The sequence below is a fragment of the Homo sapiens genome, chromosome 10 (genome assembly GCF_000001405.40).
Source record: "Homo sapiens chromosome 10, GRCh38.p14 Primary Assembly".
Taxonomy (NCBI): Eukaryota; Metazoa; Chordata; class Mammalia; order Primates; family Hominidae; genus Homo; species Homo sapiens.
The window spans coordinates 104,332,652-104,357,824 of record NC_000010.11 but is presented as its reverse complement, the minus strand read 5'-3'; the positions used below and the strand labels follow the sequence as shown (position 1 = coordinate 104,357,824).

At 45.0% G+C, this 25,173-nt stretch overlaps 2 protein-coding genes and 1 long non-coding RNA gene across 6 annotated transcripts in view, besides 10 other annotated features; 2 read left to right on the top strand and 1 right to left on the bottom strand.

Moving 5' to 3' along the window:
• CFAP58 (cilia and flagella associated protein 58) overlaps positions 1-19,305 on the bottom strand; it is a 116,583-nt gene extending 97,278 nt beyond the window's left edge. Inside the window, exons 1-2 of one of the 3 annotated variants that reach the window (NM_001400226.1) lie at positions 19,164-19,305; positions 12,126-12,269 (exon numbers count right to left, since the gene is read on the bottom strand). Coding sequence is in view for 1 of the 3 variants with exons in the window: in NM_001008723.2 (NP_001008723.1) it covers positions 3,919-3,927 (9 nt within the window). In the remaining 2 variants the exon portion in view is untranslated. Of the gene's footprint in view, positions 1-3,918; positions 3,993-12,125; positions 12,270-19,163 lie in introns of those variants that run through there. The other 2 variants (NM_001400227.1, NM_001008723.2) reach the window with 2 other exon arrangements.
• On the top strand, positions 4,250-6,524 carry CFAP58-DT (CFAP58 divergent transcript). The gene is made up of 2 exons (NR_108036.1): positions 4,250-4,707; positions 5,898-6,524. It is a non-coding gene; the product is annotated as a CFAP58 divergent transcript (long non-coding RNA).
• Positions 4,263-4,322: an enhancer, noted in NCBI's record as "active region_3989". NCBI's record gives its function as "activates an Ori minimal core promoter by ATAC-STARR-seq in GM12878 lymphoblastoid cells {active_cell/tissue: GM12878}" and the evidence as "EXISTENCE:reporter gene assay evidence [ECO:0000049][PMID:35858748]".
• Positions 5,600-5,709: an enhancer, noted in NCBI's record as "active region_3988". NCBI's record gives its function as "activates an Ori minimal core promoter by ATAC-STARR-seq in GM12878 lymphoblastoid cells {active_cell/tissue: GM12878}" and the evidence as "EXISTENCE:reporter gene assay evidence [ECO:0000049][PMID:35858748]".
• Positions 5,730-5,779: an enhancer, noted in NCBI's record as "active region_3987". NCBI's record gives its function as "activates an Ori minimal core promoter by ATAC-STARR-seq in GM12878 lymphoblastoid cells {active_cell/tissue: GM12878}" and the evidence as "EXISTENCE:reporter gene assay evidence [ECO:0000049][PMID:35858748]".
• Positions 6,538-6,597: an enhancer, noted in NCBI's record as "active region_3986". NCBI's record gives its function as "activates an Ori minimal core promoter by ATAC-STARR-seq in GM12878 lymphoblastoid cells {active_cell/tissue: GM12878}" and the evidence as "EXISTENCE:reporter gene assay evidence [ECO:0000049][PMID:35858748]".
• Positions 7,418-8,342: an enhancer, noted in NCBI's record as "NANOG-H3K27ac hESC enhancer chr10:106109241-106110165 (GRCh37/hg19 assembly coordinates)". NCBI's record gives its function as "activates a minimal SCP1, AML or CMV promoter by ChIP-STARR-seq in naive H9 embryonic stem cells {active_cell/tissue: H9 hESC(naive)}" and the evidence as "EXISTENCE:reporter gene assay evidence [ECO:0000049][PMID:30033119]".
• Positions 7,828-7,947: an enhancer, noted in NCBI's record as "active region_3985". NCBI's record gives its function as "activates an Ori minimal core promoter by ATAC-STARR-seq in GM12878 lymphoblastoid cells {active_cell/tissue: GM12878}" and the evidence as "EXISTENCE:reporter gene assay evidence [ECO:0000049][PMID:35858748]".
• Positions 11,616-11,675: a silencer, noted in NCBI's record as "silent region_2799". NCBI's record gives its function as "represses an Ori minimal core promoter by ATAC-STARR-seq in GM12878 lymphoblastoid cells {active_cell/tissue: GM12878}" and the evidence as "EXISTENCE:reporter gene assay evidence [ECO:0000049][PMID:35858748]".
• Positions 16,798-18,217: a transcriptional cis regulatory region, noted in NCBI's record as "candidate enhancer chr10.4033 targeted for multiplex CRISPR interference". NCBI's record gives its function as "positively regulates ITPRIP gene expression with high confidence in K562 cells {active_cell/tissue: K562}" and the evidence as "EXISTENCE:mutant phenotype evidence [ECO:0000015][PMID:30612741]".
• Positions 17,440-17,734: an enhancer, noted in NCBI's record as "tiled region #11867; K562 Activating DNase matched - State 1:Tss". NCBI's record gives its function as "activates a minimal TATA promoter and a strong SV40 promoter by Sharpr-MPRA in K562 cells {active_cell/tissue: K562}" and the evidence as "EXISTENCE:reporter gene assay evidence [ECO:0000049][PMID:27701403]".
• Positions 19,306-19,359: 54 nt separating the features above from the next.
• Positions 19,360-25,173, top strand: part of ITPRIP (inositol 1,4,5-trisphosphate receptor interacting protein) — a 28,766-nt gene continuing 22,952 nt past the window's right edge. Inside the window, exons 1-2 of one of the 2 annotated variants that reach the window (NM_033397.4) lie at positions 23,920-24,198; positions 24,327-24,487. The gene's annotated coding sequence lies outside the window, so the exon portion shown is untranslated. Of the gene's footprint in view, positions 19,580-23,919; positions 24,199-24,326; positions 24,488-25,173 lie in introns of those variants that run through there. The other variant, NM_001272013.2, reaches the window with a different exon arrangement.
• Positions 20,483-20,682: an enhancer, noted in NCBI's record as "active region_3984". NCBI's record gives its function as "activates an Ori minimal core promoter by ATAC-STARR-seq in GM12878 lymphoblastoid cells {active_cell/tissue: GM12878}" and the evidence as "EXISTENCE:reporter gene assay evidence [ECO:0000049][PMID:35858748]".

The following is a 25,173-nucleotide window of genomic DNA, read 5'->3' as shown; positions in this document are numbered from 1 at the left end:
ATATATGTACATATATATGTGTGTATATATATGTATATAAACACACATATATACACACATACACATTATACATTTATACACATTACATATATATATATGCATTGGGATATATATGCAGAATATATATGCATTAGGATAAAAGTAGTTCCCACTACATGATGTTACTAAGGATTAGATTAAATTAGATCACTGATGTTAAACATTTAGCCAAATGCCTGGCAAATAGTAGGGATTCAAGGAATTTTCAGAGCTATTATGATTATTCCAAACCCTGGTCTCTTTTCACTGGGCCCTGCTTCTTATTGCCCCTAAGACTGCAAAGGGCAGCGGGGGGTGGCCACGGTGTGTTGAGGCCAGACATAGGAAGATCTTGGCATAGATATCATGAAATCACATATACAGTGAAACTCACCTGAAATATGCACTTATCTCCCAAAAGAGATTCCATCATTTTTATTCCTTAGAAATGTAGGCTAGGTCATGCCCCACAGTGTCCTAAAATGCCCCTGTGCAATACTCATGGGACTTTTCCACATTTGCTTTCCATGGTTAGATGGGCAACAAATTATTTCAAAATATAAGCCCAGACATATAGATATAATTCAAGCAAGTCTGGCTATTACTTAGATGAGAACCTAAGAGTGAGTTATATCGGGATTCTTATTTCTCTACTTTTAGGGGTTGAATTGTGTCCCCCAAAAAGGTATTTTGAAGTCCTAACCCTGCTAATCTGACCTTATTTGGAACAGAGTCATTTAATAAGTTAAGATGAGCTCAGACTGGAGTAAGCCACCCAGTTTGTGGTGCTTTGTTATGGCTGCTCTAGCAAACAAATCCACCTACTTCTTGTTAGCTACAACATAATAATGAAGAAGAATGGGTATGGTTAATATATTTATTCATTCATTGAGCAAGTATTTATTGAACATCTGCCATACATAAATTCTATGATGGATTGGGAATAAACAGCTTATCCACAAGATGAGTAATAAACAGCTTATCCACAGGGAATTTATACTTAATTGCTGGTGGGATATGAATGCAGTTAATGAAAGCATAGAATTTGATCCCTATCATAAAATGTATTCAAAGTTCTCTATGAACCCACAGAAAGAGAATTATTCCCAGCAGCAAGAATAAAAAAAAAAATCTCAGAAAAAAATTGGCATTTGAGCAGGCCCAGAAGGAAGCTAGGGAGTGAGGGACACACAGTGAAGACACTGAATTACATTCAAAGGAGTACGGATTGCATTATTCTGCAGGCCACAGGGAACCACTCAAGACTTTTGAGCAAAGGACTCATAAGGCTTGCAAGGCCTTACTTACGTTTGCAACATTATGTTTTAATATTCTACTCTACAAAGGGCCTTGGCATCAACACTCTCTTGCTAAAAGAAACCAACTGAAACAATCTGTAGTCCCAATAATAAAGTAAAATTTCAATTCACCCTGAAGATTTTAAGGAGTCTAGTTTACCTTCTGTTTTGACAAGCCCGTCTTGCCCAATATGGAAAAAGTCTACGTATTCTTGGTTTTCGAAAACACTTGTACTATTAATTAAATCTCTAACGATGACATGCAAGCAAAACAGTCTTTGTAAATTAAAATAAATGTAGAGTCACAAGCATATCTATAGCATTTTGTATAACAACTTTAGTACTAATTTTAAATTCACATAGGTTTTTCTTCCTGACTAAAAGCAGATTATTGCAAAGACCACAATGTAGTAATTCCACAAAGGAGGAAAAACCATATTAAGGAAATACGGTGTTGCTGCTGTTCTGTTCTTCTCCCTTGTTGATGCTAAACATAAGCACACACAAAAATTTGTCACTGCACTGTTCTTGGTTCCATCCCTGTAAATGGTATTAACGTCAACACTTGATCAACAGCCTAATGATTTGTTAGCAGTCCAAGTTTTACCTGTTTACCTGGCACTTAGCACAGGAATGGAAAAATACCAAAGAAGGAAAAGTTTTAAAGAAACTTTTAGGAACAAAAGAGATTTGTTCCTATTGTCATTAAAAGCAAAGGAAAAATAATCTCTTAGCTTTGGCCAATAAACAGTTGATATTTCCACTGTTATAACATATAATGGTATCTGTTTCAGAAGGATGAAATCAACGTGAACTGATCAGAAAGGAACTGTGGCATTTCTTTATTCTTCACCTATTCACTGATTGTTTGCTATGTGCCAGGCACTGTCCTGTCCTAAGTTCTGGGAATATCAATTAGTGGGGAGAAGGAAAAGGGAAAAGGAAAAGAGAACTGCAATATAAGATGAGGCCAGAGGGGAAATAGAGAATTGTGAAAGCAGAATCGAGAAAGTTGGCTGAGGTCAAGTAAGAAGAAAAGTAGAAGAAAGGAAGAAACGAGAGGAGTAACAGAAAGAGGGAAATGGAAATAACTAATCCATAATAGTGGAGCAGCTTCTGAGGCCGGCACCTGGGCAGGGTTCCTCACAGAAATATGCAAATATATCCTGAATAGGGCAGAGCCAAGGAAATGAGGGGCTGGTGCCTCTGGGAGGCTGGGGCTTCCCTATGGGGAATGAAGAATGAAATAAACAAAGATGACTGGTGGGAGAAAAGAGGAGAAAACACTCAAAAGCAATAATGGGACAATAAAGAACTAGAAGGAACAAGAAAGGAAATGGGAAGAAAGAGATACAAATGACTATGGGTAATGGGGAGAAGTGAAGTGGCCACAGCAGCATGGATGTCAGAGAGAGATGTGAGTGATGGAGCCCAGGCGTGAGGAAGATGGATGATATGAAAGAGATCGTATGATAAGGAAAGGAAGGAGGTGTTGACCACGGGAAGACGGAATTTATAAAGCTAGACTGGAGATGGAGGAAAAGCAATGATGAGGGGATGTGAATGGTGCAGAGGAAGCAAGAGAGTAACTAGAATGGGGTGGGGAGGGGGTGGAGCACGATGGTGCTGAAAGATGATGGGGCTTGGGCTGGCTTCATGGGAGTGAAAACTGGTCAGTTGCACAGGGCCCCTTGCTCAGAAAGGCCCCATTCTTGGTTGAATGCTCTGCTGTTCTGTCTTAAAATTATTTGTAATTTTTGAAGAGACTTTGTGTTTTCACTTTGCATCAGGCCTTGCAAATCATGTAGCTGGTCCTGGCTGGAACAGACCGTGGGATGGGTGATGGGGGAAGGGCTCTGATGGGGCCATGAAGGATTTGGGTAGGGCCATAGTGGATGGGGACTGTGAATGGCAAGTAATGACAGGGACCCGAGGCTCTTGAGGTTATACGTGAGGGGGCTAAGGGGCAGGCAGGGAGTCACTGAAGGGTTGCAGAAATAACCCCTCATTGGAGAGGCTGAAAATGGGGTGTACTGTAATATGGGGGAGTGGTGGGGTGATACGAGATGTTAACACAGGAGTCAATGAACACACGGGGCAGAGGTGATGGGCAGAAGAGCCTTAATGAAGCTGTGTGACAGCAGGTGATCACATGTTAGGAAATCAGGGTGTGACAGGTGGACAAGGGCCATTGATTGGGATGACAGCAGGCATCTGTGAAGCTTTCTTCCCGGTTTCCCCTGTGAGATAAGACATCTCCAATATTTCTGTGTGAGCCTCTCTTATGGTATCACTCCATGACTAAAAATCTAGGGCTGGGTGCATGTCACGTGTGGATTTCAGAATTCATTAATTTTCTACCGCACTTAGCATAGCGCCGATGCCACAGTGGGGATAGTGGGGTGTCCACACAAATGAAGGAGAAACAGGAGGTAAAGAGGCCAGAGCCAACGGAGAAAGGCGCGGGAGTGAGTGAGGGTGCAGGGGAATAAGATGTTGATGGGGGGAAATATTGGAATCACCGTTTGTGACAATCGTCAGTAGGAGAGGGACAATGGGGAGGGGTCAAGGGAAAGGCGACAGAGGGGCGCTGACTCCTGACCTCAGCCATCCTGATGCTCTCTGGGGGCGGCCTCAGAGGCTGCTGTGGAGATCGCAGGAGCTGGGCCGGAGTCTGGGAAAGAAGCTAAAGGCGCGACGCGCTGTCTCTATCGCCCGCCCCGAGCGGAAACCCGCGCTCGGCGCGTCGGCCCGTCGCCTGGCAACGGACACGCCCTCTAGGGGCGCTAGCGGGAATTCGAAAGGGGAGGAGCTTCTGCGGCTGGCACCTGGGCAGGGTTCCTCAGAGAAATATGCAAATATATCCCAATGGGGCGGAGCCAAGGAAGTGAGGGGGCGGTGCCCCTGAGAGGCTGGGAGGAGTCCCACGGTGTGGGCAGATGGAGACACCCAGGAGAAAGAAGAGGGCGAATTGGAAGAGGCCACCCAGAAAGGACGGTGTGTGACACTAGGGAGCCAAGCATGGAGAGCCGAGGACTAACGCTTGGAAGGAAATGTGGACCAGAAGGTTCCGGATGAGGGAAGGACTGGCGGCTACACTCTGCCTTCCGAGACAACGAGGAATAATCTCACTTCAGTCAGTTCAACCCTTGTAAAACAGCTACTGTGTGCAAGACACGGAGGGAAAGCTGAAGTAGAGAAACCACAGACGCTGTCTTCAAAGGGTTTAATCTAATATTAGTGATGAGAAAAATAGGGTGCAGAGCTTAAGGCATCCTGGAAAAACGTATGTAGCGCCACATCGCGAAAATCTCTCTTCTGGGACCCCTCTCCCAAAAACGTTTCTTCGCCCTCTTCTCCCCCTTCTGCCTCCACTCTTTCTGGACTTCAGGTACAAATAGTTGAAATAATTATACTCCTTGGTTCATGAAATGTGTAAGACTCCTCTCTGGTTTTATTTTCCCCCTTTATCCCCATCCCTACTCCCAACCCCTATCCTCAACCCCATAGGCATTCATGCTGCTGTGCTTCCATATGTATTTTTGGGAAATGTACAAAATTTTTATCAGTGTATTTTTTAAAAATGTTTAAATAATGCTACTGGACTTTGGAGATTATCTTATTTTCTACTTTTTTCACTCAACATTCTTTTTAAGGATCTGTCCTCGTTGCGATTGGCAAGCATATAGTTCATTGCTTCTGAGTACTGCACAGCGTTTCATAAGGGGCATCTACCACACTTCACTTCCATTCCCCAGGTGTTAGGTAACAAGGCCGCCTCTAATTCTCCAATACATCAAGTAATACAGCCATGATCGTCTTTGTCCGTGGTCCCTTAAGGACCTCTGTGCAAATTCCTCTGAAATATATGCCAAGGAGTAAGATTGTTAAAGTTATAGGGATGCACAGGGACATTTGCTTATGCAGCTGCGTCCTGCACAAACACATCCAGCCATGGGGCAATGGAGGCTGAAAAACTGTCTCTACTCTCTTTCCCGTGCCATGTGCCCTACTGGAGAAAGGTGTGCACTTTTTATTCTCACAAAATCTCTGTACGCCAGCCAAGTCATGAACCTAGAAGGCTGTAACTATCTAGAGGGTGTGATATTTTCAAACTCATCTGGCCAGATGAACAGTTTTCCAAGAGCACAACGATGCCCAGTAGCCTAGTACAAGCCCTGGGTACTTACCAAGCACTTTAAGATTGTGTACCAGAGTTACTGCCCTACGCTGCACTCCAGTGTGGGGTTTCCATCCAACACTTCCATCCATCCCTTCCAGAAGGTGATAGGTCTTTTTTATTAAACACTCATAAAGTGTTTAGTAAATACCAGATACTATTCTAAGTGCTTTGCAAATATTGACTCATCTAATTAGCTAATTTTCTAATTTCTGTCAATATGATGAAAGTAGTGTAAGCTCATTTTTTGCTTTCATTTTCACTTCTCTAACTACTAGTGAATTTTTTGACCATTTCTTTATACATTCATAGGCTACTTGAGATTCCCTTCTGTGAACTGCCTTTTCAGTGTCTGTGTCTATTTTTCTATTGATCTTTTTTCTTTTTCTTTTGATTTACAGATATCTTTGAGAAGCCTGGACATCAATCTGCTTTAGAAGACTAGAAACTCTGCCTTTATGTCTTTAAGGGAACAATAGTCCTTAACTTTGATACTGTGGCTCTTTAGCTCTTTTTTTCCCTATATTTTTTATATAGTTTTTTGGTATTATTTAGACCTCCTTAACCCCACGGTCATAAAGGTATTCTCCCATCATTTTTTTCTATCCATTAGCTTCATAGTTTTACTTTTTTACATTCAGTTATCTAATCCATCTGGAGTTCTCCTTCCCATATGGTGTGAGATAGGGATCTAACTATATTTTTCTCCATGGGGTGAGCAAATTTTCCAACAACCCATGTCAAACAATCCATTCTTTCCAAATTGGTTTGGGGAAGTTTCCAAATAGACATGAGTATGTTCTGAGCTCTCTGGTTTGTTCATGTGTCAGTACCACAAGGTTTTGTCACTGTGGGTTTTTAGTTAGTCATCATGCTTGAAGGGCAAGTTCCCCATTCCAAATTCTTCTGTGTTAAGATTGCTTTGTCTATCCACGGGCCTTTATCCTCCCTTATAATGTTTAGAGTAAGTTTGTCAAGTTTATGAGAACTGTGTTGGGTTGATGAATAAATGCAAGGAAAACTGGCAACTGTGCAGTGACATCTCATTCATGACCTGACACTGTATATCTGGTGGACAAAAAGAGGGAAATGTGGCTGAGTCATAATGTGCATGGAGGTTGCTGGAGAGGTGGCAGATGAACTGGAGAGGCAGGCTGAACCACACTGTAAGCCAAGCTAATAGAAATGAGCTTGAAATGGGACAGGCAACCCAGCTCAGGCTGCTTTGTGTGTTCACAGGAAACCTGATTACACATTGGGACCATCGGTTTGTAGGATTGCCATGATCCAGAGAAACTCCATAACATTTCTGAAAGTATATAACAAAAATAAAGACCTAGAGGGCCCTGGTCACCCATACGTTGCACTGATGTCAAGTGCAGGGCTGTGTGTCTTCCCATGTCCAAGGGATCTCCTAAAAGAGCTTTCATAAGTAGGTGCCCTGCATAGGTGACAGCAGTTCAATCCAGTAAACAATTTTTTAAGGAACGTACTGCATGGTAGGCACAAGGCTGCCCACAGGAAGCACCAAGGTGACTATGGCAGAGTCACTGCCCTTTGCATTCACAATCTGTATTAGGGGAAAGACAGAAGGGAACATCTACAGTTAATTCTAATGCAATAAGATGGTATCATTTAGTATATGCCATTTTAACAGAAAGCACAATGGGAGCTCAGAGAATCTAGATACTGGTATCTGAGACCTTACTTATAGGAGGACAAAAAGACCCAAATATGACTGAGCAATCAAAGAACCACAAGGAGGTAGAAAGGCGCGTGACATGTTCAGCTCATAGGAAAGAGATGCAGGGGGCATCAACACAGATGGATGAATGGATGAAAGGATGGGTGGTCGGACATATCAATTTATGCTGATGAAACAAAATGTTTGATTTCCAATTTTCTGGATTACAGAAGACTAGTCACCACCCTGCTCCCCTGTGTTGTTGTAATAACAAGAATCACTAGGTGGCATTATAGTATCAAAGTCCTCACCTTTCAGAGCCTCTAGGAGAAACACACCCAACAAGATCGCGTCAGCCCCTAATTTAGACAAATGAGTGCTTCTATTCATCTCATTTCTCATTATATCCACTTAATTTATTTCTTGAGCACCTACTATATGTCCAGCCCTATGTTGCATACTGTGGAGAGAGAATACAAAAGGAGTTGAAGACACGATCTTCTCCCTTGAGGAGCATCAGGAGAAGCAAATTGTGCACGCCAACACTCCCCTTAAAAGATTTTCTGACAACAGTCCGAGACAGGATATAGTAAGCACTGAAATGAGGATGTCAGTAAATAAGGTCCTGTGTAATCTGGCCCTTTCGACTTTCTGGTGCCAGCTCCCATCACTCACTCCTTGTTACACTGGTTCTTTCAATTCCCTGGGTAGCCATGCTCTTTCCCACTGCCTGGAATTCACAAATGCTGATCTTCCTGTCTGGAATACTTGACTCTCTCTCTTTCTCTCTTCAGCTGGCTGGCTCCCATCCAATCTTCTTTCAGATCTCACTTCTTCACATTACTTTCAGTCTCACTTCCCCAGACTACCTTTTCCAGCATTGTGTATTCTACTTCTTGCATCATCCCACAGTGGTAACTAATGGCCTAGTCATGTAAATAGTTGCTTAATACCTGTGTTCCCTACCACACCGTCAAACTACAGGAGCTCTAAGATGATGCACGTCTTCTTCACCCCTGTCTCCACTGGTGTTAGGGGCTGAATTGTGTCCCTCCAAAATTCATAAGTTAATGTCCAGATGCCCCCTACTTCAGAATGTGATGGTATTTGGAGATAGAGCCTTTAAAGAGGTGATTAAGTTAAAATAAGGCCGATCAGACTGGTATCCTTACAAGAAGAGGAAAATTGGTCACACAAAGAGACACGAGGTATGTGATGTGTGCACAGAGAGGAATGACAGTGAAAAGGAGACTATCTGCACAACAAAGAGAGGGGCTTCAGAAGAATTCAAACCTGCTGACACTTTGATCTTGGACTTCTAACCTCCATAACTGTGAGGAAATCAATTTTTTTGTTTGTTTTGTTTTGTTTTGTTTTGTTTTGGTGTGGAGGCGTTTGAGACGGAATCTCACTCTGTTGCCCAGGCTGGAGTGCAGTGGCACAATCTCGGCTCACTGCAACCTCCGCCTCCCAGGTTCAAGCGATTCTCCTGCCTCAGCCTCCAGAGTAGCTGGGACTACAGGTGCACACCACCACACCCAGCTAATTTTTTATATTTTTGTTAGAGACAGAGTTTCAACGTGTTAGCCAGGCTGGTCTCAAACTCCTGACCTCAAGTGATCCTTCTGCCGTGGCCTCCCAAAATGCTGGGATTACAGGTGTGAGCCACCACACCTGGCCTCAATTTTTGTTTTCTAAGCCACCCAGTCTGTGGTATTTTGTTATAACAGCCCTAGCGAACTAACATAACCAGCCAGCACTCTGCTGTATAAGTAACTGTTCAGTGAATCACTACTGAATGAGTTCTAAAGTAAGGAAGCCCAGTGAACCATGACATCTTAAAGAAAGGTACATGGTAGACATGGCTCTTGAACTTGACCTTAAATGATATGTATGAGTTAGAGACACGGAAGGAAGTTAAAAGAATCTCAAGTATGGGGAACAGCACTGGGCAGAAACCAAGGCAAGAATCCAAAAATCCTGCTTTAGGCAGGGTGAGGTCCCTATCAGGTACTTGTGGACACTAAAGTTGACAAGAGGGCATGGGTGAATAGCAGAGAGCCTTGGAAGGATAGAAGAGAAGTGCCTCCAAACTCAAGGACTAGGGACAGTCAAGAACACACCCATTTTTTCTGCCAGATATCTCAAATACATGATCATGAGATATACTACCTCTGCAAAGCTCCTTATTTAAACCTGGATAGAATCGCCTCTTAGAACTTCTCAGGTGCGTGCTGTAACACAGTAATAAGAACAGTATTTATACCCAGTGTTCACCTCTTCAATAGTACCCAGTGAAGATATGAAGTAAACCTCCAAAAAAGCAGAAACACTGACTTGCAGGCCTACATGTAAATTCCTAGCCTGTAATGCAAAGCAATTGTGCCCTGACAGAAATCGACCTCTGTCATAGATCAGAGAGGTCCCAGAGGCTATTTTGGGGGTGTCTGTATCATCCACAATCTCCTCTGAGATTATTAACTCCCACCCAGAATTACGTCCCTCTCTGAAGCCATGATGCTCTAGGCCACCCTACATACCTCCCCAGGGCCACAGCTGATGGGTCAAGGTGGAGACCTGACCCACATGAAGCCAGTTCTATTATTTTCCCTTGGAATTTATAACAGGGACCAAGAGCAAGTCAATCATTGCTCAGGTCTGGAACTGAGCATGTGAAGCCCAGGAGAGGCAGAGAAAGGCAGGCTGTATGGAGGGAAGAATAAAGCAAATAAATGAGGGGAATCCACAGACCAAAAACAGGAAGCGAAAGATGGGAGAGGGAGCTTCTTCCTTGGTGGCCGATGCCCTGTGGGAACCTGGTGGCAGGTCCCTTGAGAGACCCAGCAACACCTGCTCTCTTGGATTCTGCTAGATACTTTGTATCCTCCTAACAAAATAACCTTATTTGTTTAAGCTAGATGAAGTGAGTTTTCTTTGTATATATCAGAAATAAAAAAAAAATTTTAAAGCCTGCATCAACACAGATCCTGTTTGCACAGGCATTCTTGTGGCATTGCTGGATTTAGTGTCTATGGAATCTAAAAACTACATTTGGGGCCCTTAACGACATGGTAAAAACTGCTCCTGTCATCATATCTAATATTTTTCCTCCAGACTGTTGGGAAGATGAAAAGCCCACGTGTTACAGAAAATTGTTATCATTTATCAGCCAACCATATGGTCACCTTAGATGACAGAGCAGAGTCCCCACTGGCTAGTGTTCTCCAAAACTGTTGGGGGCATATTTTATTCCTTTAATCTTCTCCTTTTCCAGACTACTGCAGCACTAACTTAACAGAACATTTGTTGAGCATTTGACATCAGCTCCCAAAGGGTCTCCAGACAAACTCCCCTCGTGACACCTGAGGAGGCACCGAAGCTCAGGCAGATTTATTAGGAAGACTGAAAGGTCAGGCACCAGGTAGAAGCACTGAGGGAGCAGCCACAGCGGGTAAGCATTTTTACCAGGAGAAGGAGACAGCAGTGTCATAACTACCCAGTCGTCTTACCTGCCTTGAATTTTATTGGCTTAAAAGCAGCTGCTCTCTTCTCCCACACAGATTACTTTTGGGTATGACTGGTTAGGCTAGATCATTCAGTTGGTGCTTCTTGCCCAAGACACCAAGGTTGCAGTTTGATGTCCTACTCAGGACTGGTAAGGACGTGCACAAGTCAATCGGTGGACCAGATTGGTTAAAAAGCTTAAGTGGGTCAAGCGCGATGGCTCACTCCTGTAATACCAGCACTTTGGGAGGCTGAGGCAGGGAGATCACTTGAGGTCAGGAGTTTGAGACCAGCGTGGCCAACATGGTGAAATCCTGTCTCTACTACAAATACAAAAATTAGCCAGATGTGGTGGTGGGCCCCTGTAATCCCAGCTACTTGGGAGGCTGAGGCAGGAGAATCACTTGAACCCAGGAGGCGGAGGTTGCAGTGAGCCAAGATCGCACCACTGCACTCCAGCCTGGGCGACAGAGTGAGACTTGGTCTCAAAAAAAAAAAAAAAAAAAAGACTAAATGGCTCCATACAACCTATTCCCACTAATAATAAATAAATAAATGAGTGGGTAAATAAGTAGCCTGAACAATATAACAAGACCTGGTATCTAAACAAAAAAAAATTTTTTTAATGAGCTGGGCGTGGTGTTGCACACCTGTAGTCCTAGTTACTCAGGAGGCTGAGGAGGGAGGATCACTGGAGCCCAGGAGTTTGAGGTTACAGTGAGCTATGATTATGTCACTGCACTCCAGCCTAGGTGACAGAGCAAGACCCTGTCTCAAAAACAAACAAACAAAAGTAAATAAGTGAATGATATGGTGTGGATGCTTTGACCCCTCCAAATCTCATGTTGATACATGACTTCCAATGTTTCTACCTCAGGTGTTCGGGTCATGGGGGGTAGATCCCTCATGAATGGCTTGGTGCAGAGGTAATGAGTGAGTTCTCACTCTAACAGTTCACATGAGATCCGTTTGTTTAAAGGAGTCAGGCACATCCTTTCTCTCACTCTTGCTTCCTCTCTTGCCACGTGACACACCAGCTCACACTTCGCCTTCCACCATGGCTATAAGCTTCCTGAGGCCCTCACCAGAAGCAGTTGCTAGAACCATGTTTCCTGCACAGCCTGCAGAACCATGAGCCAAAACAAACCTCTCTCTTTTATAAATTACCCAGTCTCAGATATTCCTTTATAGCAATACAAGCAGATGAACACAGTGAATATATTTTAAAAATTTTAAAAACCAAAGCACAAAATACCTTTGATGATGGGCCAATGCTTTTATATCTACTATCCCCTGAAAGTCTCTATTTTCAAACACCTCTAGACTTTACAAATGCTGATCCCTTTTCTGGAAAATCCAATGACTCCTTATTTGTCCAGTTAGCTCTTTCAAGTGGCAGCTCAGTGTTGCCTCATCCAAAAAATCTTACCCAGTTAATTACCTCTCCTCTGTGCTGCTGGAAAGACTGAGCATCTTCTGTCAATTCACTGCATTATCATTGTGTGTTCACTTCTATGTCTCCCCACCAGACTGGGAGGACCAGTCTTTTCTTTAATACATCTATGGTGCTGCCCCATAGGAGACACTAGAAGTAAAAAGTTTGATGAATGAATGCAAGATACAATTAACTTATAAACTCACACACACAGCAATTACTCTTGGGAGTGATTAGTGACTAAAGGAAGGTGAAAGGTATCAGTACACGAACATTTAAGATTCTACAGTGGTTAAAATTACTTCCAAGTACACACCAAGATCCCAAACAGAAGTACAGGTAGTAAGGATTACAATAAAATGCACTTATCTCATTTTTTTCTTATCCTCAATGTAAATACCAAAGAACTATGTCTTTTTTTTCTTACCCACAAGGTGGGACACACAATCAGTACTCAAAAAAAGTTGACTACTGAACTCTCATAGGCAACAAGGATAGGCATCTATAAAATGAAATCTGCTATATTAAAGGAATAAGCTTTTTGTTTTTGTTTTTTTTTGAGACAGAGTCTCACTCTGTCGCCCAGGCTGGAGTGCAATGGCACAATCTCGGATCACTGTAACCTCCTCCTTGAGGGTTCAAGGCATTCTCCTGCCTCAGCCTCCCGAGTAGCTGGGCTATAGGCATGTGCCACCATGCCCGGCTAATTTTTGTATTTTTAGTAGAGACAGGGTTTGACTGTGTTAACCAGGTTGGTCTTAAACTCCTGACCTCAGGTGATCCACCCACCTTGGCCTCCCAAAGTGCTGGGATTACAGGCGTGAGCCACCATGCCTCTTTTCTGCCTGTTAGGTATGTTGCTTTCTTGCCAATACCTGCTGCAAGACCTACTGGATGATTTTAGTAGAAGCAAATGCCTGCTGAGCATTTACTGGGAACAGGTGCTTTTTGAGGCAATGCAAGGGAGGCAAAAAGCCTCAAACCTTTTTAAATTAAGCAGGACAATTTAAACCTCTAGGACAGCAGAGACCAGTCTAAGATACCATTGCATTTTAGAATCTAGCACCAAGGTTTGCAAACTTTTTCTATAAAAGACCACATTAAGAAATATTTTCTGGTAGAAAAAAAATAGAAGTATCCTGAGGACAGGTAGGAAAAAAAGAAATATTTTGGGCTTCACGGGCCACATGGTCTCTGTGGCAGCTACTCAACTGTGCTGTTAGAGCCCCAGAGCAGCCATAGACCACACATAAATGAATGGCCATGGCTGAGCCAATATAATTGTATTTATAGAAGCAGGTGGCACTCTGGATTGGGCCTGACAGCCATAGTTTGCCAACTCCTGATTTAGACAATGCCTGGCATAGATTAGGTGCTGAAATATTTGTTGAATGAATGGATGGATGAATGAATAAGTGAATTAAGGTATTCCTAAGGTTACAGCATAATGATCTGTGTCAAAGGCAAGGGTACCATCTTTAGACATTAACTACAAGGAGAGCAATGAATATCTACTGACCAGAAATAAGTTGGATGGCAATCATCTGACTGTTCTTTCCCAAGCCAAGTGGCATATGTAGATGGAAAATTAACATACATAAACCAATAACAGTTTTCAAAACAGAGATGTGAGTTAGAAGAGTAGTTTAAAGAAATATTTTCTAGCCAAGCATAGTGACCCACTCCTGTAATCCCAGCACTTTGGGAGGCCGAGGAAGGAGGATCACTTGAGCCCAGGAGTCTGAGACCAGCCTGGGCAACATACTGAGACCCTATCTCTGCAAAAAATAGGAAAATTAGCCAGGTATGGTGGCACACACTTGTAGTCCCAGCTACTCAGAGGGCTGAGGCAGGAGAATTGATTGACCCTGGGAGGTTGAGGCTGCAGTGAAGCCGACCGTCACTCCCGCCTGAGCAACAAAGTGAGACTCTAGCTCAAATTAAATAAATAAATAAGCATTTTCTTCAAACTTTGGATCTTGACTCATTTAATAAGTTGTGGCCTGCATTTTTTTCAAAAGAGGTTAACATAGGAAGAGTAAAAAGAAAAGGGAACATAACAGTTTGTATCACATTCAGTAAACATAACAATTGTTTTTAAGGAAACTGTCTTTCAATTATAATGCACTTGTATGTGTGAGTATACTGGGTTGTGAAATAAAATGTATTTTCAAAAATCTTTGAAAAACGTAGGTTCTGTAGAATCTAATGATTCCTACCACGTGAGTTGATATGAGGATTAAATGAGTTGGTAGGTATAAAATGCTTGAGTAATACCTAGCAGATGGCACAAGTTTTAGCTATTATTATTCAGTCACTAACCAGCAATGTGACCTTGAGTATGTGACCTAACTTCTCTGGACTTAATTTTTGTCAGTAAATAATCTCTAAAGGCCCTGTGGGCTCCGACATTCCCAGAGGAGGGACGTGACCAGCACTGACCTTGAGGAATGAAATAGCCAAATGCAAATCATTCGTCTTGTTCAACTGACACCTCTGAGGTCTCAGCAAAGCAGCCTGTTCTGTGAAACATCCTCTAAACTAACTTGCTATTATCTTGTGAAATTCCATGTGAAGTTGAAATCAGGGTAGTGGGAAATTGACCAAATCAAGGGAAGTGCCCTTTTTTCCCCTCCATCAGATGCTTAATGACTAGTATAGGCTTCCTGTCTCTCCCATTGTCATGCATTTTATTCCATATACTGGAATAACCACAGATGGGGTGAACAGGAAATCTGTCCCTGTGTATTTAATCTTTAAAAAATTTCCAGTGCTCCTAACCGTGAGATGTGGTGTGAAGCTCCCCTGCAGTTGGTTCAGACTTTGTCACAAGTCACTTTTTTTTTTTTTTTTTTTTTTTTGATACAGGGTCTCACTCCCTCACCCAGGCTGGAATGCAGTGGCACGATCTCGGGTCGCTGCAACCTCCACCTCCCAGGTTCAAGTGATTCTCGTGCCTCAGCCTCCAGAGTAGCTGGAATTACAGGCACGCACCACCACACCTGGCTAATTTTTGTATTTTTTTTTTTTTTTTTTTTTGTATAGACGGGGCTTCGCCATATTGGCCAGGTTGGTCTAAAACTGAACTCATGTGATCTGCCCACCTTGGCCTCCCAAAGTGCTGGGATTACGGACAGGAGCCACAGCACCCAGCTGACAAGTCACCTTTCACTATGGAATGTGAAGCCTCATCTAGCACTTAAATGATCATGAAGAACATTCCATCTACTTTCACACACACATGTATACACATAAACAAGCCAATAGAAAACTGGGGGATGTTGTAACAGAGTCTTCACACATAAACACATAAAGGTGGCCAATAACAATGTTCTGTTCAGCCTCACTCATAATTTAAAAACTGCAAATCAAAACATTGAGATTAGGGGTTTTTTTCACCTATAAAAGAAGCAAACTAAATTAAAGTTATAATAGAAAATAGCCAATGTTGGCAACAATGTAGAGAAAAAGGCAATCATCATACTATGGGAAATAGTTCAAATTGGTGAGATCTCTTTGGAGGGCAATTTTGTAATATATACCAAAATAGTAAATGCACATATCCTTTGATCAGCCCTGAAACTATCAAGGCACTGACCCAAAATAGCCACCTATATACAAGCTTCTGATGTGAGAAAAACAAATCCTTATTTGTTTAAGCCTTTTATAGTCTTAGACACTATAAAAATTACAGTCTGGTATTCCGTTACTTGCAGCCAAACATATTCCTAATTTATAATTTTTAAAAAGAATAGGGGTGAAGGAGGACATTCATATCTTGCACTGACTTTAGAAGATTTCTAGTATTTCCCCATTAAGCATAACACTGGTTTGGGGGCTGAACTTTACCCTTTGTTTTTACCATGTTACAGAGGGTTTGTTTATATGTCGATGCCAAATTTTATCTGATGGCTTTTCAGCATATATGGTGATGATCTTTCCATTTTTCTCTTTTGATCTATTAATGATGTAATATTCTTTGGTGTGCTGCTGGAATTCTATTTGTTAATATATTATTTTAAATTTCTGAAATAATTTATATATTTATAAACAATAATATATTACTTTTCTTTCCCCTTTTCAATGAGCTATTTTTATTAGATTTTTGACTGATATATTACCAACTGCCTAAATAAAAAAGAATTTCAATCATTGAGGTTTTTTATATGTAAATGACTAAACTTTTTATTTCTACATATTATAGCTGTACTTTTTCAAATTTACCTGTTCTTTTTTCATAGTCCTATGTCCTATCATTTTATCTCTGTATTTTGACCATAACTATTTGATACTCTTTTTCAAATTGTTCTATTGTCTCAGATACTTAAGGGGCTAATTTTCCTGTTTATTACATTTACCAGTTCACACCCTCATGTGGTTCATTTCCTAGTCTGGTTTTTAATTTTTTATTATAAGCTTAATGATTATTAATAATTCTTAATTTTAAGAAATTAAAATAATATAAAGAATATTTTAATTTCTTATCATGAAACATTTTAATTTCTTATTGTAACTTCAATGGGAGTTGTTTATTCTGCTAGGGACCAGGATAAACAACCGAATTTTACGTTTGCTTCTGACAGGGCCAAGGGGATTCACCACTTTGAAACAGGTTTTTTGTGTTTTTTCTTGACATTAGGATTCCCTCAGCACGTGGGTAGTATAAATTGGGAGCTCACACCTATGCATAGTATAGGCAGGCTAGGGGTTTTCATTTCTATAGAAGACATTTTAAAATTCATCCAGGGCCGGGATAAACCACAAGTTTCCTTCCCGCGACCCTGAGCCAATGGGGAGAGGGCTTTTTTCTATCCTCCTCTTACTAAAGGGCAGCCTTTCCAGGGTTCCAGCCTTAGGCAGAGATCTCAAGTCCAGATCCCTGTCTTTATAGAACTCAAGGCCTGAATAGATACTAACCCCAATCCCTGAGTGGGTACTCACCCCTGGTCCTTAGTCATTTGGGCTTATATTCATGTCATGCTTTTGAGTTCCCTTGACCTATCTCACACCTGGAGACCCCCTTTCTTCCCTTCCGTTGTTGATATATTTTATTCAGCCTTTCACTGTTCGAAGCAGGAGTTCCCTGACTTCTTGACTCCTCAAGTTCCCATAACTTGAATCTTTGTACTTTCCTATCTTTTAAAAAACATTTCTCGAGTTAGCACAGTGTTCTGTAGAAACGACAGGAGGGGTGTCCAATCCAGACATGAGGGTTCCAGGAAGACTTCCTGAAGGAGTAACTGCCTGTTCTGAGACAGGAAGACTGAGCATACAATTAGTCGGGCAAAATAACATGCATGTGCACTGGGGTGACAGTTTGGAGGAGGAGGTGGGGTGGCTGTGGCAGGCAGAAAGTAGAGTACATATGAATATCCAAGGGGAGAGAAAAAGCATATCATGCAAACAGCATATCAAAGAGCATATCACGTTCTGGGAAGCACAGGTTCCAAGAACTGCAAGGAGTTTTGTGTGGGACACAGAGTGAGATATGAGGCTGGTGAGATAAGCAGAGGCCAGTTCATGAACGACTTACAAGCCAGGTAGAAGGGTGGACCTTAGAACAGACAGGAACCAATCAGAACACAGAAGGTGAAATCATCAGGTTAAAAGCAAAACAAATATAATAAATATTCCTTATATAAATATACATGGCTGGTTAGAAATTGCTGAAACAACTTTGCAGACGGGATGACAATCCCAGAGGGCATTCAAGCACTAACCTTGGCATTCCAGCACAACGCTGAACTCTTAGCCCAAGGATGACAAAGCTCAGCCCAGCGCTCTTACTTCACAGAAATTTCCCCCACCTGCTTTGCGGAGGGTGTGAGTAACCCACCGGACCAACTTCTAGACATTTTGGAAATACAGCTCTTTCAAGACCGTTTCCCCAGATCGCCCCCACCACCTCCAACACACATACTGGCCCCCAAAATTCTGCCATAACCTCTTACGTAAGGAAAGAATTTGAGCAGCAGTAGAAACTTGAAAACAAAAGTACCCTGGGCCAAGGGCCAGGGAGTCTATTTTTAGAACATTTTCTCATTGCCTGTTTATCTTTCAGACTCAGCCAAAAAGTCTTCCAGGCGAGTGTTAAAGGAAAAGACGAAAAAAAGGTGATCTAAGACCAAATAGCAGTAGCAATGGTGATCATTTTGGACACTGTGTTCCAATTTCCCCAATGTGCCTTCACTGGCATTTGGTGCCCCCAAAGCCGCTTAATGGAGAATTCATTCAAACCCTGCTCTGCCTTTTGTACTGATGGTAGGATTTGGGCAGGTCAAAGGGAAGACAATAGAAGTTATGGATTTCATAAACTATTAAGCTCGACCAGAACGCTGCTGCTGCTCCTCCAGGCCTCAGTTCTCTCGTTTCTAACATAGGGGTAGTAACACTTGATCTACCGTCACAACAGTAACCAGAAACTACCGCGCCTGTCCCGTACAGTATCCGGTCACTGTTCTCCTTTGTGCCCGGTTAATCCCGGAGAAAAGCAACCATGCATTTGATTATCATAAAAGTCGGGCGCGGTGGCTCACGCCTGTAATCCCAGGCGCTTCGGAAGGCCGAGAAGGGAGTTCGAGACCAGCCTGACCAACATGGAGAAACACCTTCTCTACTAAAAATACAAAATTAGCCGGGCGTGGTGGCACATGCCTGTAATCCCAGCTACTCGGGAGGCTGAGGCAGGAGAATCGCTCGAACCCGGGAGGCGGAGGTTGCGGTGAGCCGAGATAGCGCCACCATTGCACTCCAGCCTGGGCAACAAGAGCGAAACTCCTTCTCAAAAAAAAAAAAAAACGGTAGTAAGCTATTTTAATCCTTTCAAGCTGCAAAAGAGAAAAAGGCTGGCGTTTTGTCTAGAGTTATATTTTCCTCCAAGAGACTAAATAGGTGGCCCCAGGAATTCCGCCACTTGTAAAACGCGCCGCAGAAAACTCTCCCCGACTGGTAAGGACTTAACCCCTTCCGCTCCGCGGCTTAGGACGACTTTTAAGGGCGTCCTCCCCGCGCCCCTGTCCACTCGCTCCAGTTTACTCCACTGGCCTGATTCCGTCTCTCCCAGTCACTCTCCAGTTCTGCCGTGCCGGGGAAGTTTCTGGGGGCTCACTGGGAAGGTCTTCCCGGCGGATCCTGGGCCCAACCACCGAAACCCACACGGTCCTCCTTAAGGAGCTTCCGGGGCCGCGGGTAGAGGCGGGTGTTTTGTTCTTATAAGGAGGAAAAAGTTTTTGTGACATCCAGGAAATGAGTAACTCTGAAGTTCAGTAGAGCCGGCCGCTGCAGGCCAGAAGGTGGGAGCCAGCGGGGGCATCGCCGCCCGCGCCCCTCTAAGTGCCGGGCCGCAAGCTCCACCGCAGCCGCCTGCAAGCAGCGGCGCCTCGGCCCTCGACCTGCGCGCAAAGCCTGTGCTGGAGCCGTCCTCCCGCGGCGGGGACCGGGACCGGGGACCCAAGCCAATCGTAAGTCCCAGGGCAGCCTAGTGTGCTGAAGGAAGAAGGGCGCGATGGAGAGCGCGAGCTCGGAGGAGCTGTGTCGGAGATGGCTGCCGACAGAGGGGGCGCAGGAGGGTGTGGGGAGCGCGGGCGCCTGCTCCTCCCGGGTGGGGGCTGACTTTGGAGACCCCCTTCCCTTAAAGCGCGCGTGCCCAGGCGGGCGTATTGTCTCCTCGCGGTCCCGCATCCTGTTCCCGCCGCGTCGGGGGATGCGTCCCGGGCGCTCGCTCCAGCCAGGGCTGCGGGCAGCTCCTCCTCGAGGCGCGCGCAGCCTCGGAGCCCAGAGCGGGACCACATTTTTGTTCCTAGTGGCCAGGTGACCCGTTACTTCTCACATCTGAGCAGAGCGCTACCGAAGAAAGAAAAGCCGGTTCGCCCTGCTCATTTGCTGCCCCCTTTTCCCCTTCCCCTTCCCTCCCTTCCTGTAAGGGAGGAATAGGCGTGAAGTTTTTTTTTCTCGGTTCATGGTAGTGAAGTTATGGGGCTGCTTCAGGCCGGATAAAATCCCCGCCGCTTCCTCTTTCGGGACTATTAGTGGGCCAGACCTCACGCTGTGCAGACTTGCTCTTGGGCTGCAAATAACTCTCTGCCCCTTCACCCCTAACCCCACCCTCAACCCCATCCCTGTGACTTTGCCATTCTGGCCGCCTGGTGAAGACTCCCGGGGCGGGACTCCCCATCCAAAACGCTTTCTCTTAAAAAAAGAAAAAGAAAAAGAAAAAAAAAGCCACCGACCAGGAAGGTAAAATATTTTACGGAACCAGGCAGGGGCCTCATTTTGCCTTTTGCCCCTCTGCTGGTATGAGAAAAGCACCCTTTCACAACTAGTAGAGTACCAGATACTGGTCTCATTTCACAAACAGTAGAGTACCAGATATTGGTCGCAATCTGGACTCTGGTCTTTTGGATCTAAATCGGGGTCGCGGTCTATTTTCTTGTTCTTTTTTTGGATATGACCCAGTGCTCTTGCCTTTTACAAACCGAGTCTATCTGACTGCCAGCTAAAGTTCATCTGTGGTTGGTGCAGTTTTAGGCCCAGGTGAGCCCTGAAAATAGAGTATCAGAAAAGTGGATTACTGTCTTTCCTCCTTACGAAAACAGAATAGGCTGTGTTTTTGAGTCCTCCCTCCAGCCCTCGTGCCTAAGTGGCTTTCATTGTTTGCTAATTCCCTGTATGTTGCGGCTGCTCTGGGCCATTCTGCCTTCGGATTTTCTCCACTTGTGGGTAACCATGAAGTAGTTATACTGACTCTCTGCTCTCCCTGGGTGCATTCTTCTCATGCTCAGTAAATCTACATTTTACGTAAGATAAAGTAAGCATGTGAAATTATAGCTATCTGTTTGGCAACAAAAGGAATGCAGTTTTGTTTTCGGTTTTGTTTTTTGCATGACTGAGTTCCCAAGCTTAACTTTTCCCTTTGGCATCCTGAGCTTGGGGTCCTAAGGTTGTATTTTCCTTTCACAGCTATCAGCAGAGACAGGTAGCCATCAACAGTTAGGAAAGAGTCTGGGCTGGGTGGCTGCCTGTCTTCCCAGAGCTTTGGGAGGCTGAGGTGGGAGGATTGCTTGAACCCAGGAGTTCCAGGCTTAGAGCTGGGATCACTTGGTTGGGATCACTTGGTTGGAGCTAGGATCGTGCCACTGCACTCCATCCGGGTGACAGAGTTCAGACCCTGTCTTTAACCTACCCCCCAATGCCCCGCTGCCCCCCCCCCCCCAAAAAAAAATAACTGGGCAGGAGAAGGTGCTTTCAGAGTCCAAGACTCAGGTTCCATGTTTCGAGTTGAGAGTCTGCCCCAGTAGGGTTGAGGTGGCACGGCAGCCTGTGGGGCTTTAATGGAGAATCTGCTTGGAAGGGGTGGGTGCTCCAAGTGTTCTGGGAGCTGAGAAGCAGGACTTTATTATGGATGACACCAGGCCATCCTGGACCCTTCTCTCATCCAGTCTTGCTGGGGAGGGGTACAGAGCCAGGAGGATGCTGAGAACTGTTCATGATAACCTCCAGGGCTGCTGCTAGCCTATTCAGTCCTTCGCATGAATTAGAATAAGGTGCTCTGTCTTGGCAAGAGGATGGGGCTTGATGCCTCTTAGAAATACTGGCCTTACTTGAGTGGACATAGCCAAGCCATATAGCTGGATAAGTGGCATGTGAGCTGGATTTATCCTCACCCCTCAGCCAGGTGCCTTAAGCAGTACACTGCCTGGTCCACCATTCACACAGCAGCCCTGATAAACAACCACTATTGAGGGCTTAACATTCGCCAGGCTTTTTTTTTTTTTCCCCAAAAGTACTTAGCCTGTATTAACTCATTTAATCCTCACAGTAGCCGTATGAGTTAGGTATTGTTAACTCCATTTTACAGATGAGGAAACTGAGGCACAGGGATGTTAAGTGTTCCAGAGCCTGGAAGGTGAGTCTTAATCACTGGGCATTCATAGACCAAGAAGCAACTTAAGCTTAAAAAGCTAGTTTAATTGGGAACCCTCGTGGGAAAGGGGGAAGAACAGTTGCCTTTTTCTTTCTCTGTCAAAGGAGGAAATACCCATTCTCAGTCCAGGTGGAGGAAGGAGGGGAAATTCATCTGGCAGGAGGCAGAGGAGGAAAGAAAAGAGGCAAGCCGGGCCTTGATGGCTGATGGGGAGCCTGGCCCAAGAATCAAGTGACTTTCCTTAATCTCTGGGCGGTGTGAGGTGGCAGATCCAGTTTGGGGCCTGGCATGAGGGTGATGAGTAAGTGCCCCCAGGTGTGGCTCAGAGGGAAACGGCGGTGGCTGCACGCAGGGTCCTGACCTAGGCAGAGAGCGAGTGGAAGGAGGTGAGACAACTGTCCTGACCTTCCAAACCCCTAATCCCCATCTGTGGTCTCTTGCTTCCTTGTTGAAGTCCCATTCACCCACAAATGCCCTTCTCAAGTTCGTCCAAGAACCCTTCCTGAAACTCCATTTCACAGTTCCATATACATGATCTCTTAGTTTCCACACCGTACAGCTGAGCGCTTAATTAGCTGGAACCGAGCATTTCACTATGTACTGTCGATAGGCACTTTAAACAAAATAGGCTTCTCATCAGTGAGGAAGTCAAGATGCCTCCTGGGAGGGGCCAGCTGGTGCCCAGCAGATTGCTCAGAGGGTGGTGTTTACCTGGATCACGTCACCTGTCCCAGGGCATGGCTCTTAGCTGTGCCCGCTCAGAAACCCAATTTCCATAATTTTCAGAGTGGTTTGGACTCAAGCTACTGATTCACCCTGAGAAAGCTCCCAGAAGAGGGTGTACGAATCAGAATGCTGGTTTATTAATTTGCAAGGAGACTTCGCAAACATCACACAGACTGAATGTCGTCTCTTCCCTGCGTCCTAGACAAGCCATATGGGAAACCAAAGACCAGAAGGTGGACTGCGCTTATCAAAGCTGGAGTCAGAACCAGGCAGGAGCAGCATGGGGTGAGGGTGGGGGACAGTGATGTCCAATAGTGCAGGGCTTTGTCTACCTCTGCGGCCCTCTCACCAGCAGAAAGATAGCTGCCAGGTAGACTGGATACTCAGGTCAGCCTGGCTATGGGCATCTCCTTGGCCAGTGCCTCAAGGGCAGTATTTCCCTGAGAAATCCTGGTAGCATTTCTCCCTTTCCTCTCTCATAATGTAGTAATTTTTTATTTTATTTACCTATTTGTTTAGTGCTTTGCAAGCATTAGCTCCCAGAGACATAGATTTGCATTTGCGTAAATTCGATAACTACTGTACAATCTCAGAGTTGTAGGGCCAGGCCATGAGAGTAAGTGCTATATGCAAATCAAGAGGATGATCCGGTAACCTGGATGGATCAATAGAAAGCCAAGCATAGAGCAAAGACACGTGGTCCCCAATCAGCATGGAGGCTGGGCCAAGGCTGGCCAGTTGTTGCATCCCCTGCGTAGGCCAGGGGGTGAAGCATTCCTAAAGCAGTGCCTGCTTCGGCTGCCTCAGGCAGCCTGCCCTGCTCAGCTGGCCTCTTTAGATTTAAAGGGCTCTTTCTGGTCTCTGTCCAGGCCCTTCATGGCTCATCTTTAATGAGCCACATCTCCAGGTGCCCAGAGCCAAGGCGGTGTGACTGCACGGGCTTTGAAGTGGGGCAGACTTGAGTTGAGTCCTGGCTCCACCACTCGGTGGTTGGGCGTTCTCAGTAGTTGGGCAGGTGCCTTGATTCTTCAAGTCTCGGTAACATCATCAGTAAAATGGGGATGACCCTCAGGGCTGTGGGGAGGGTTGACCCAGACGATGCACAGAAGGCTCTGAGCACCGTGCCTGGCGCAGACTGGAAACCTGGCCAGTGTGCGCTCTTCAGGACAGCAGAGGTCGGTTGGAGGTCTGCATTCTCTGCCGACTTGGGCCCCAACTTCCCCATCAGGTCACTGCTCCCTCCTCTGAGGTCTGGACAAAGGACAAGGCTGTAGGGACCTAGACTGTCCTAGACGGGGAGGACATCTATCCTCAGTGGTCTTTCCAGCAGTTTGTTTGGAGCTGCTCATCCTGATCTTTTGGCTGACTCTGGCAGAGGGAAAGTCAGATTTGAGGCCTGAGCTCTAACAGGCATCCAGAGAGGAAGGAAGGGTAAGGAGCTCTTCTGGGCGAGGAAAGGGGTCATTTGGGAGTGCCCCAGAGGCCTGTAGACCCCTCCTCAACAGTTTAGGACCTGTGACGTTTCCCCACAGAGAGCACATCCCCCCTCTATCTGTTAGGCCCACCCCGTGACATCAGTGAAACGGAAGCACCCTGCAGGTGACATCACTGTTGCTCAGGGCAACGCCTCCACCCTAAGGCGGACGGGGAGGTGAAAAATCGGCCTCAAGTGTGAGACGCATGTTGAAGGGAAGGGACATAGAAGGTGTAACGTTCACAGGTGTGTTTCTCAGAGGCTGGGGAGAGGATGGGCCCAGTTAGCGGCAGGGTGAATAGAAGAGGGAGGTGCTGCAGTCTCAGATCTGGGCTGTGTCAGTTGGTGGTGGGTCTTTAGGCCTTGGGTCAGAGAGCGCAGTGCTGACAGCTGCAGTCTCCTTCAGTTCTCTGAACGGGACTCCTTAGGGGTCCTCCTGCAGCCTGGATCTGTAAGGAGGGTTAGGGGAAGGGCAGGCTGGAGCAGTGATGGGGCCATCAGAAAAGTGACTTTCCATTCTTCAGCCTCCCCACAAAAGAGAGTGAGAAATAGGATGCTCACATCCTTATTACGGGGGCTTCATTGATCGAGCAGCCATTGTGTATCTGTTATGCATGGCCTGTGCCAGGGATTCAGCGGCCTCGTGGAGCGTTATGATGAAATGCACATGGAGAGGAAGAGTGTATGGAATCCACTGCCCCAAGAGGCAGGACCAACTGGAGATAGGAATCCCGTCTCACAGTTCACCTCACTCAACTTAGCATTCCCTGTGGAATTCTAGATGGGTTAAACTAAATTCATGGAATGCTTTCAGTTGGGTGTGCTTGAGATACACTTGCTAATTTGGGAGTGGAGTCAGAGGGGGCAGCCATGGATGTCCATCTTGTCCCTGGGATGGCACTGTTTACAAGGCTGAGGTCACTCAGCAGTTC